This window comes from Homo sapiens, chromosome 1, assembly GCF_000001405.40.
Source record: "Homo sapiens chromosome 1, GRCh38.p14 Primary Assembly".
NCBI classification, from domain to species: Eukaryota; Metazoa; Chordata; class Mammalia; order Primates; family Hominidae; genus Homo; species Homo sapiens.
In genome coordinates, this window is record NC_000001.11 from 181,568,030 (window position 1) to 181,580,327 (window position 12,298).

General features: G+C 42.6%; 1 protein-coding gene across 14 annotated transcripts in view; it reads left to right on the forward strand.

Moving 5' to 3' along the window:
* CACNA1E (calcium voltage-gated channel subunit alpha1 E) overlaps nucleotides 1-12,298 on the forward strand; it is a 490,386-nt gene that overhangs the window by 250,331 nt on the left and 227,757 nt on the right. For all 14 annotated transcript variants that reach the window (XM_017002244.2, XM_017002243.2, XM_017002249.2 and 11 more), the window contains 2 exons: nucleotides 9,737-9,840; nucleotides 11,043-11,195. In XM_017002244.2, the coding sequence (XP_016857733.1) occupies nucleotides 9,737-9,840; nucleotides 11,043-11,195 (257 nt within the window). The remainder of the gene's footprint in view (nucleotides 1-9,736; nucleotides 9,841-11,042; nucleotides 11,196-12,298) is intronic.

A 12,298-nucleotide genomic window follows, 5' to 3' on the forward strand; every position in this document is an offset into this window, starting at 1 on the left:
CTTGAAAATCACCACTTTATATGCTTTTACCTTTGTTCTAGAACATAGGTCAATTGAAGCCCAAAGTGTATTTTCTGTTCTAACTCAGGGGCCTGAGTTTCATTACCTGCTTACCTGCTCATTCCTAAACCAGTCACTACCCAGGACAGTGGATGATTTGCTTATACGAATCTACATTCACCCACAGGGGAGTCTGGAGAGCTGCCTGGCCTCCCCAGCATGCATGTTGTCAGGGAAGGCTGCTGCAGAGAAGGCAGCCAGCACAGCCGCCCCAGGAATGGCCTGTGGGGATAGAGAAAGTAGCATTAGTTTAGGTACAGAGACCAAGGTAAACACCCAGTTATGGCAACTGGGGCTGGGGCTTGGGGAGAAGGTAAAAGACCAATAGTTAATCAGGAAAATTCTTTTGAGCTTAGAGTAGCAGTGTGGTTAACCTGGTGTTCCATTGCCAAATTTAAGCCTGGAGTTCTTTGAACACTGCCAGGCTTGGTCCAAAACATTAATACAGCCTATAAAATTTTCCTTCTGTGACATTTCCCAGTCTCTTCAGATCTGTTCATTCATTCATTCATTCATTTATTTTTGAGACAGAGTCTTTCTCTGCTGCCCAGACTGGAGTGCAGTGGCATGATCGTGATTCACTGCAGCCTCTATCTCCTGGGGTTGTGATTCTCCCACCTCAGCCTCCCAAGTAGCAGGGACTACAGACACATGCCACCATGCCCAGCTTATTTTTATTTATTTTCATAGAGATTCGTAGAGATAGGTTCTTGTCATGTTGTCCACGCTGGCCTTGAAGTCCTGGGCCCAAGCAATTCCTCCAACTTGGCCTCCATTAAGTGCTGGGATTACAGGCGTGAGCCACTGTGCCTGGCCCTCTTCGGACTCCTTACTGTCTACTCTCCCCTGATTCATTAGGTTTCAGCCACACCAGCCTTGTTTCAGTTTTTCAGATATGCTGGTTTCTTTTGTGCCTCAAGACTTTCTGTGCAGGCCTTTTTCTGCATCTGGGATGTTCTTCCCACATTGTTTCCTCTGACCTACTCCAGCTTCACTTTTTAGCTCATCTGCCACTTCCACAGTGAAGCTTCCTTCCCTGACCTTTCGCTTATCATAATTGAGACCTATTTAATGTATGTCTCTTTCATTAAGTATCGCAAGGACAGCCATGATCACCATCTTCTCTACTGTAATGCCAGGGCCTGCTGCATGGCATATGGTCAGAAGTATCTCGATTGTAGAGTAAGTCTTGGGCTCTGGGATGGAGCTAAGCCTGATGGCATCAAGGGGCCCCGGCAGAGTAGGTGGGGAGGAAGAGGCAGCTTGCAGCCATCTGGGCTGGGCTTGACATCTTTTACACCTTTCCCAGCCTCGTCCTCTTCCCTCAGATATATTTCCTTGGTCAAGTTGATTTTCTTTGGCTTATCTCTATGTGAACAGTTTAATACACAGGGACTTTTTAAAAAATAAAATGAAGTAAAGTCTCCAGAAATTGATTCCCAAATCAAATCACACTTCAGTAATTTAAAAGAAATAGAGAGCAAAACATCATGTGTAATTCAGTAGATTTTTGATAGATCATAATTACTTACACATGTGGCTACACCCCCTTTAATTTGGATATCCAATTATTAGGTGTCATGGGCCCAGTCACAGCTCCGTGGATGCGTCTGTGGATGAGTCCAACTAATCTGCAATTGGAAATGTATTAACACCCACTTCTCCTTGAGCGAAGGGCATTTCTAGAGCATTACTGTTGCATATTGTTCCAGAAGGAGCCATAGTGTGTGGAAATGGGAAAGATGGTTTCTGCCATCAGGGAGCTGGTTTTGAACTGAGTTACGAGGATCTAACTCATTAATGATCAGACCCATGTTCTAAGATATAAGAACTGTATGTAATTGGGAGTTAAACATAGAGCAGCTCTCTGGATGTTGAGAGGAAGGGAGATTGGTGTGAGCTACAGAAGCATAGCACCATCAGGGCAGGTGTTGGCTCACAGAGTTAGAGCCAGGAGGGGTCTGAGAGGTCCGTTTATCTGATCATTTCATTTTATAGATAAGGAAACTGATATATTATTTCTCTTCTTCCTCTGTAACACCTAATTATTTTCTATGAGCCAAACTGTAGTAGACTTTTTTTTTTTTTAAAGTTCTTCCTCATTCAGCTTCCCCAGTGGCACCAGTTTTCCCTTTTGGGAAGATCTTATTGTGTGTTCCTCGGGGGGAGTCTTGCTCACCTTGGAAGTGGTAGGGGATTTGGGTGCAGGGGGACTTAACCTTGACCACACGCTTCTTCTGACTTTACTCTTAAGCTGATGATGCAACAACAGCAAGACAGTTGATGTTTATAATCATACCAATAGCCACAGTGGCCTAAGAATCAGATTTCCCAGAATCTCTGACCTTTGCCAAGTGTATTAGTTTCCTATAGCTTCTGTAACAAATGACCACAAATTTGGTGGCTTAAAGCAACACGTGTATTTTCTTACAGTTCTGGAAGTCAGAAGTCTAAAATCACTTTCACTAGGCTAAAATCCAGGGTTGTGCTTCCCATCTCTCCTCCCCAGAGGCTTTAGTTCGTTTCTTTGCCTCTCCCAGCTTCTAGAGCTACATTCTTGTGTTCTTTGGCCCTTGGGCCCTTCCTCTATCTTCAGAGTCAGATGCAGAATAACTTGCTTCTGTCCTTACATTGCCTTCTCTCTCTCTAGTCAATCTTCTGCCTTTTTCTTGTAAGGGCACCTGTGATTGTGCCTCGAGTCCACCTGGATAATCCAGGTTATTCTTTCCACCACCAGATCCTTAATCCCATCTGCAAAGTCCCTTTTGCCATAACAGGTAACGTTCACAGATTTCTCAATTAGGACCTGGATATCCCTGCCCCAACAAGGTTTCTGCTTTCCTCTTTTCCCAGCCTGGTCTTCCAATATCCCCTCAATTCTGTGAGTTCCTGGTATCTTCTCAGTATACCTTTTTGGAGGGAGGGAGCTGATGGGTCTGCAGTTTAAGACAGTTGAAATCTGTTTCTGTTGTTTATGACCAGGAACCTCCATGGTAAATCAGTGCTATGTGCAGAACTTTACAAGCATTATTTTTTTTTAATCCTTGTTTTAACTTTCTTAGGAAGGCACTATCTCCTTTTTCCAGGTAAGAAAACTGTAGCTCAGAGTGGCAATTTCAAAAAGCCTGACAGCTAGTATAGGTGATGGAACTGGGATTTGAAACTAGCCAGTGTGACTGAAGAGCGTGTGCCTTATCCCTTTCTCAGAATCCTAGTTCAACTAGCTTTTGGTCTTAGACCTTTTCCAAGGAGGAAGTAGAATGTCATCTGGGCCCTGAGGTCTGAATCAAATTGTTTAGGCAGGGGAGAGAAGGCAAGGGAGAAGCATTCCAGGTAGGAGAGAGGCTGGAGACTAAGAAGTGAATCCAAGAGATTTAAAGGAAGGGACATGACAGGTAAAGTGGAATGACAGATAAAGGAACCAACCACGTATGGAATGCTTTTGAATGGACACAGCAACTCATTTATGTCAACTACCCATGGGAATGATATTCTGACTCAACTTTGTGTTGGAAATTCAGCTTGTATTAGGTCCCTTGCTGCCTCCTCATGGCCTCCTCATCACATGGGCTGGTTAAACATCTAACATCCTTTGCTAGTGTTAGCCTTTTCTCACAGATGCTGATGAACAGCCTGTCTTTCAAAAACTTAACAAGGTTCTTTGTTGGTATCGATATGGGTAATTTCTGGAGCTTGGGAGACATCCTGGACCTAATGGTGTAAGATCTCTGGCTTGTGTCTCCTTTCAGAAGAGAAATTGGAAATTTTTTTCTAGGGCTGGGACAATGACTAAGAAGGGAGCTCTTTATCTGGTGTTTTCTGGTTACTACTTAAGTGTAACTGATAGATTTAGCAAATGAAAATATAAGACATCCAGTTAAATTTGAATTTTAGGTTTCAGATAAACAATGAATATTCCATGCATTGTACAAACATTGCACTAAAAATTATTTATCTGAAATTCAAACTTAACTGGGTGTCCTGCATTTTGGCTGGCAACCCTGAACCTATGACCACTGTTTCAGGGTATTTTCAGGCATAGACTTGTACAGTGAATGTGCCTGTGAAAAGATATTATAGACCTGGATTGACAAGGAGGCTAGGAAAGAACCCCAAGTTCAAAGGGAATGCAAGGTTGGAGAATTCTTTGGGCGACTAACTTGGGGAGAGATGATTTGGTTCTCATTGCCCAGAGCATTGCCTCTGTCTTCTGTTCTGCTGTGCCACTGTGCTATGGCCACAATGAGAAAGACTTGTGCTGCATCATCAGGATTGTATCAATCTCCATTCTCTTCCTATTTGCTGACACCTAAAAGTAAAAACATTCAAGGTAGGGTTGAGCCATGATCTCTAACAGGAAATAGTTATTGAACTTGACTGTGTGCAGAACATGATACCTGTGCTGGTGGTGGTCAGAGGGCTGAGTGTACTCTCCAACTGTCCTCTGTTGTGGGGGCAAAGTGGGCATTAAGCACCCCCCTGTATACAGAGCTTTCCACCGGGCTGTGTGCCTATAGTGACAAAACAAATGGAAAACACGCTTGTGCTCTTGAGGAGCACAGATATATGCCTCTTGGGACAGCAGAGAGCTTAGGCTTTTATTAACTCAAAATTGGAGTTATTCTCAGTGGCCCCACTCTGATTTTGTGGTGTGTGTGTCTCTCCATGTGTGTATATAGAAATATTGCAGCAATCATCACCTGCCATTAAGCTACTTTTGTACATAGTAATTAGGAGAGGTGCATGGAGTCTGGTCCTGAGAGTGAGATATGGCAAGTGATCTGTGGCGCTTGGTAATTTGTGGCCTTAGAATGAAGGGAAGAATGCTCACTTGCCTGTTTGGGGATGAAAACTAAAAAATCTTGATATTTTTTAGCAACACACTGGACTAAGGAACAGTGGACCCTCCCAGCACTGGGCAAACATTACACAGCGTAATGGCAGGGTGGGGAAAGGACTGGATTTGACATCAGAAGAGAACTGACTTTAACTCCTGATCTTACCATTTATTAGCAATTTAATTTTTTCTGAGCTTTGGCTTGCTCTTTTATGAGATGGAGACAATAGCAATATGAGGAAAATTTTGAAGATTTAATGACATACCACTTGAAAATGCTAACTGACAGCAAGCACCTTGTATTTGTCACTGCGGTGTTTCCCATTCTCATAGCACTTTGTAACTAACTCTGTTATAATGCTTCATGGTGTGTTATAATTATTTCTTTTATGTGTCTGTCTACTTCCACTAGACTGAGAATCAAGGGCCATTTTCAACTCTTTACTTTTCCAGTAGCCTCCTGATTAAGCCCTGGTACTTACAAGGCCCATAGTTTTGCTGAGCTGTGTGTACTTCAATACTTAAGCTTTGCTAGGAGGCAAGTCTTTAACTTCTGAGTTTCCATTCTTTCCTCTGTCTCTCTAGCTCTCTTACTGAGAACTGGGAAGATCCCACGGGACAGGATCTGTCCAGTCCTCAGTAAGAGTCTTTCAAGAATATTACCATCTCAACACCAGTCAGAATGGTGATTATTAAAAAGTCAAGGAAAAACAGATGGTAGAGAAATAGGAATGCTTTTACACTGTTGGTGGGAATGTAAATTAGTTCAACCACTGTGGAAGACAATGTGGTGATTCCTCAAGGACCTAGAACCAGAAATACCATTTGACCCAGCAATCCCATTACTGGGCATATACCCAAAGGAATATAAATCATTCTGTTATCAAGATACATACACATGTATGTTCATTGCAGCACTATTTGCAAAAGCAAAGATGTGGAATCAACCCAAATGCCCATCAATGATAGACTGGATAAAGAAGATGTGGTACATATACACCATGGAATACTATGCAACCATAAAAAGGAATGAGATCATGTCCTTTGTAGGGACATGGATGGAACTGGAAGCCATTATCCTCAGCAAACTAACACAGAAACAGAAAACCAAACACTGCATGTTCTCACTCATAAGTGGGAGCTGAATGATGAGAACACATGGACACAGGGAGGGGAACAACACACACTGGGGCCTCTCACGGGTAAGTGTGGGGAGAGGGGAAGGGAGAGCATCAGGAGAAATAACTAATACGTGCCGGGCTTAATACCTAGGTCACGGGTTGATAGGTGCAGCAAACCACCATGGCACACATTTACCTATGTAACAAACCTGCACATTCTGCACATGTAACTCAGAATTTAAAATTTTTAAAAAAGAATATTAGAAGATCCTCATTAGACTCTAAATGCTTGAGTATAGATTCCCAGTATTCTCCTGTGTACTCAAACACATGTATGTTTGAATAGTATCCCAGCTTGCTACCCTATTCTCAGTAAGTTCTAGGATTTCCTTGATGTTCTCTCCTTTTGACCTCTGCTTCAACAAATTTATTAATTTAATCAGTGCAATTCAAGTTCAATTCATCAAGCCTTTATTGAGTGCCTCTTACTTGCCAGTCACTGGGCTAGGTTTTGGGGGTAGAGATGAGTAAAATGGTGCCTCCATTAGAAGTGTTTCAGATTTAGTGGGAGAGACAGATGAGAAAACAGAATTTCTCTAGGATGTGGTTAGGGCAGTGATGGAGGTGGACACGTTATGGGAGCACAGAATAAGGCTATTTTCCTTTATTGTCTTTTTCCTCTAAGAATTCCATTGTTGGCCAGGTATGGTGGCTCACACCTGTAATCCCAGCACTTTGGGAGGCCGAGGCAGGCGGATCATGAGGTCAGGAGTTCGAGACCAGCCTGGACAGCATGGTGAAACCCTGTCTCTACTAAAAATACAAAAATCAGCCAGGTTTGGTGGCATATGCCTGTAATCCCAGCTACTCGGGAGGCTGAGGCAAGAGAATCGCTTGAACTCAGGAAGCGGAGGTTGCAGTGAGCTGAGATCGTGCCATTGCACTCCAGCCTGGATGACAGAGCAAGACTCTGTCTCAAAAAAAAAAAAAGAATCCCATTGTCCCTGCTTACTTTCTAACAGGTGAACGGGGAGCCGGCTGTCATTCCTGCCTCAAGGAGTATTGGAACTGTGGGAGTTAGGAAGCTGCCAGTGGCCAATGTGCATCAATTAAAGACCCAGTTGGTAGCCCTCCTGCACTGGAGGACAGAAAAGAACACTTGGAGGCCCAGGACAGCACAAGGCCACAGGCTGCATGGCCCTGGCTGCAGTGTGGTTGGGAGAATTTGGGGAGCAGGTAGTTTCAGCCAAAGACTAACTTGGTGACATGCGCATACCTCATGGCTGGCTCTGTGAGACCCCTGCAACAAATGCCACCTTTTTCCTTCCCTTTTTCAAGTTAGCTTTGCTTTTGTTCTCTTTCCCATTTCTCTGACATTTGCTTCTCCCCCCAGTTCTTATTTATTTCCTTTGTTGTTTATATCCCTACATTTTCTTTTACTGCTCACTCTTCTATCATCTTATTCTTCTTTCCCTCTACCATTTTTCCCCTCTACATTTGAGCCTTCTTTGCCTTTTAATTTTATCTTTCTGCCTCTATCACCATGTTCTGAAACATAACTGTTAAACTCAGGGTTGGAGAGGAAATTTTCATTTCCAACAGGGCTTTTTATGATATGAAAAGAGTGTCTCATGTGTATCTGAGTATCCTAGGAAACAGAAGTCTAATTTCTAACTCATATTCTGCATACTGTGTTTGAAAGACATCATCATGAAAGGAGAGTCTCCCACCTGGGCAGCACAGGAGACTGTGCTGTGCACCTTACCTTTATTACAAGAACCAGCCAAACAATGATTCCTTCTTTTTTGTGGTTCTCTATCTCCACACCTATCCTTGAAGTTTCTCTTTATCTCGCTCTTTCTCTTTTTCTATTTCTGTCATATTTTTCAGTTCTATTTTCTATGTTGCTTCTCGTTCTTTTTTCTCTTTAGTCCTTCCCTACTTATTAGAAATTATATGACCCCCTCCTTAATGTCTTTCCTTGGCCTTGGAAGATAGAGTCAAAAGGAGTGTGGAAGACTCCACTGCCCCAAGTCCCCCCGTTTCTGACGACGGCATGGAAGTGTGACTCAGGAGAGATGGGGAAGATTCAGAAACCTTGTCTAGCTCTTGAGATTCTTTATGAGTAGGATTTCTTTCTGCTTCTTATTTTTAGGTAGTATGAACGTAGACTCAGAGAATCTTAAAGTTGACAGGAATCTCTATTGGTTGTTTAAATAACCTTTACCCCATGTAGGATCCCTCTTTACTTCCTAATGATGCTCTACAGGTAGCTCCCGGATACTTGGAGTTTTGGGAAGGGTGCCAGCACATGAAGCCGTCCGCTTGGCTGTTGGCAGCACTAATTGTGTCAGTTACCGCTTGCGATTCTGTTGTCCTGGTCTGTATGATTTGTACCTAATGATTGTATATCTGCTTCCGAGGGCCATAGGGCATGCACTTTCCATACAGTTCTTTTTCTGAGATTGAAGACACGTCAAATAGTGAAGGAAGTTCAGGTACCTTCTTTAATACTTGAACTATTTCAGAGAGGTTCCATCAGAAATAAACAAAACAAGCCATTTTTGCCACCCTTTGACTATAGAGGAACCCAGTTTTCTGAATGCCTCATTTCCTGATGGTTCTGAGTAGCTGAGATTGTTCTGGAGGGATTATGGGTGAGAAACTTCCTTTCATTCTTCACAGAAAGAAGAATAAAATGAGCAAGTTTTAAATTAAGATTTTATTAATATTAGTAAGCTTTGCATTAGCCACAATGTCTGTGTGTACATTATAGTTTATAGAACACTCTTAATATTAAATACCATGTCATTTTATTTTTATAACTAGACCACGATACCCCCTTATTTTAGAGATGACAGAAGTGGGGTTCATAGAGGTTGAGAGACTTGTGTTGAGTTACCCCATTCTCAACAGAGTGAGTCAGACTTAAACTCAGTTCTTCTGCTCTTAATCTTCTGCTATGTCTTTCATAAATACATATATGTCCTTGTCTCTCCAAAGTCCCTGCAATGTCATGAGATTATAGGAAATAAGTTGTCTCCTTGGTGTACACAATCTAATAGAATTATGGATTTGTATGTGTGTGTATTTCTGGATTTGGCTGTGGAACATGGAAAAATAGGAAGAAATCCAATTAGGGTCAAAGAGTGGTTTGTGCAATTATAAAAATACTGATACTATGTGAAGACCATTGAAATTCTTCTCCAGTTGCAAGCATCAGCATAATTGATTTGTTTGGTAAAAATTCTGTCAAGGTAGAGATGAGTGAGTTACTTTTTTACTGCAGTTAATCCAGAGAAATTTCCTGAAGGAGATAGACAGGGGAACCTAAGAAAATTTTGAAATAAAAAAATACAAGGGCCTGGTGGGTTGGAAAGAGGGGAAGGAGTTGAAACAGGGCAGAGAGGAGAAAGGGGACAAGTGTTGGGGACAGGAATGGGACAGATGTTGTGGCCCTTGTGTTTTGCTTGGGATTTGGAACTAGGGTTCTGGTATGATGATAAGTTTTCCTTCTTTGCAAAGTAAAACCCAGATGGCTAAATTTAATTCCACTTGGAGCCACTGGTGATTCACCCAAGCTCAGGTGCACCCACATACAGCTGGCGTCAGCGCTGTGTGCTTTCCAGGCTGAGCTTGCCTCAGCCCCGCTTCCTGCATGGAACAAGAGGGGAAAACCAGACTGGTAACCTTGACCCTTCTGTGTCTCTGTCTGCAGCATCCTGGCCACTGCAGGAACCCACTTCAATACTCACGTGGACCTGAGGACCCTCCGGGCTGTGCGTGTCCTGCGGCCTTTGAAGCTCGTGTCAGGGATACCTAGTGAGCATCTGCCATTCTTTCTGCTCTGCTAAGAACTTTCTTCATGTGTCCTCAGCTGGATCCAGGTCTAAGGGAATTTGGGATAAACAAACAATATTCCTCCTGGGAGGAAGCCTCAGTGGTAATAAATAGTGGAGATGGAGCAATCTGGTGTAACATTTTACTTTACATTTAACTTTTTGCAAATATAAAAGATAATAGAAAATCTTTACAGAAAATGTGGAAAGTAAACAACAAAAAAGAAAAGTGCTCTTTATCTTATCACTCAGAAATCACTTTTGTTAAAATTTCAATATTTTTCATTTTTCCCCTGTGCATTTTAATATAATTGAAATCGTTATGTAGATTGTAGTTTTATATCCTGAAATAAGTATTTTATTTTCCTAACCTTAAAAATTCTTGGCTGAGTGCAGTGGCTCACACCTGTAATCCTAGCACTTGGGAGGCTGAGGTGGGTGGATTGCTTGAGTTCAGGAAGAGTTTGAGACCAGTCTGGGCAACATGGTGAAACCCCATCTCCACAAAAAATAGAAAAAAGTAAAAAAAATGTAGCTGAGCATGGCAGCTCACTCCTGTAGTCCCAGCTACTCAGGAAGCTGAGGTGGGAGGATCACTTGGGCCTGGGAGGCCAAGGCTGCAGTGAGCCAAGATCACGCCACTGCACTCCAGCCTTGGCGACAGACCGACACTCTGTCTCAAAACAAAAAAATTCTTATATGTGTTATGATTTATTTAGCCATTTTTATGTTTTATGTTGCTGGATGGCATAAAAAATAAAAATAGGCTATTTCCAGTTTTTCTCCAACTATAAATGTGCTGCAACAAACACCTTTTTACTTAAATCTTTATTCAAATCTCTGACTGTTTTCTTGGCTAGAATCCTAGAAATGCAATGTGTGGGTCAAAGGATATGGCATTTTCTGAATAGTGCTTGTACTAATTGTGCTTCCCCAACAGAGACTGAGAACTGGGTCTGAGATAGAGTGAATGGGAAGATGAACTTTATCCCAGCTCTTGAAGGATTTACAGCCTAGCAGAGCTGGGCCTAATTTCCTTTAGGAAAGGAGCACATTCTAATAAATTTAATCTATCAGAGGCAGACGGCAGCATGGATGAAACCAATGAGGGAATGAAACTAATCCTCCCCTATCAGATGGTGCTGAGGGACAGCTGCATTGGTCATTCTCTGTCCTTCCTTCTAGGCCTGCAGATTGTGTTGAAGTCCATCATGAAGGCCATGGTACCTCTTCTGCAGATTGGCCTTCTGCTCTTCTTTGCCATCCTGATGTTTGCTATCATTGGTTTGGAGTTCTACAGTGGCAAGTTACATCGAGCATGCTTCATGAACAATTCAGGTAGGGTCGTTCTTTTCTGTCTTCTCCTTTTCCCTTCTCCCCTCTGTTAACTGGGGTAATTTCAGGGCACTTGGAGGCTCATTGGAAAAGTATGTCCTATTCTGACCCTGGAATTAGAATCAGAAGCTTCTAGTCAGCAGCCTTTTGAGGCACAGTCAACCAAGACTAGATATCCTCACTTGACATTAATATTGCAAAGCAAATATGTAGTTGGAAGATTTCAAATAGATGGTCTTGGCTCCCCTATCCCATGGTCAAGGGCCATGGGAATGAACTTGAAAAGCCATCTGTCTGAGCCAGGCATAGTGGCACCCACCTGTAGTTCCAGCTACTCCCTGGAGGCTTAGGCAAGAGGATTGTTGAAGCCCAGGAGTTTGAGGCCAGCCTGGACAACTAGTGTCTCTCTGTCCCTATCTCTCTGTCTACAGAAAAAAAAAGTGCAACCTCTCTGAATATCTGAATCAATACCCCTTTACTCTTTGTACAGCAGCCTCTGACTGAATAAATAAGTACTTTTTGTATAGTGGCCTCTCTGGCCCACAGGCTGGTGAGATCTAGGAGTCCAGAGTCAGAGTTGGGTCCCTCCGGATCTGTGGAGACATTTTCCCTTCATGATCCTTCTCACCATCTTCTCGCTCTCTGTTTTGACCCACACGTGGTATGGAAGAACTGAGGGAGCTCTGAGCTTGGTTTGCAAGTGTGCTTGGGAGATTGTTAGGGTACACAACCCCAAATTCTCATATCTTTGTATTTCATTTGTTCTTTTCAAGTTGAGTTGAGTATCCTAGGAGGAAAGGAGATGGGAGGCAGGCTGAAGAATTCCAAATAAGTACCATGCTTTTTATGAAAAGAACCTTAAAAGAACACTTTCCACCTTGGATTTCTATTTTTTATTTTTATCTTTTATTCAAAACCAGGAATCCACGCTGGAAAAACAAGGAGTTAAACCCCCCTAAAAGGACCATAGTTTATAACTGTCCCCAAGAAACCCAGGAAGAACTCAGGGCTCATCCTGGAGTCTGAAGCCAGAAAACCTCACTTTGCCTTTTCCTCAAAGTGTGCCGTGTGATTCAGTCCTCTTAATTCCTGTGGTACTTCAGGTG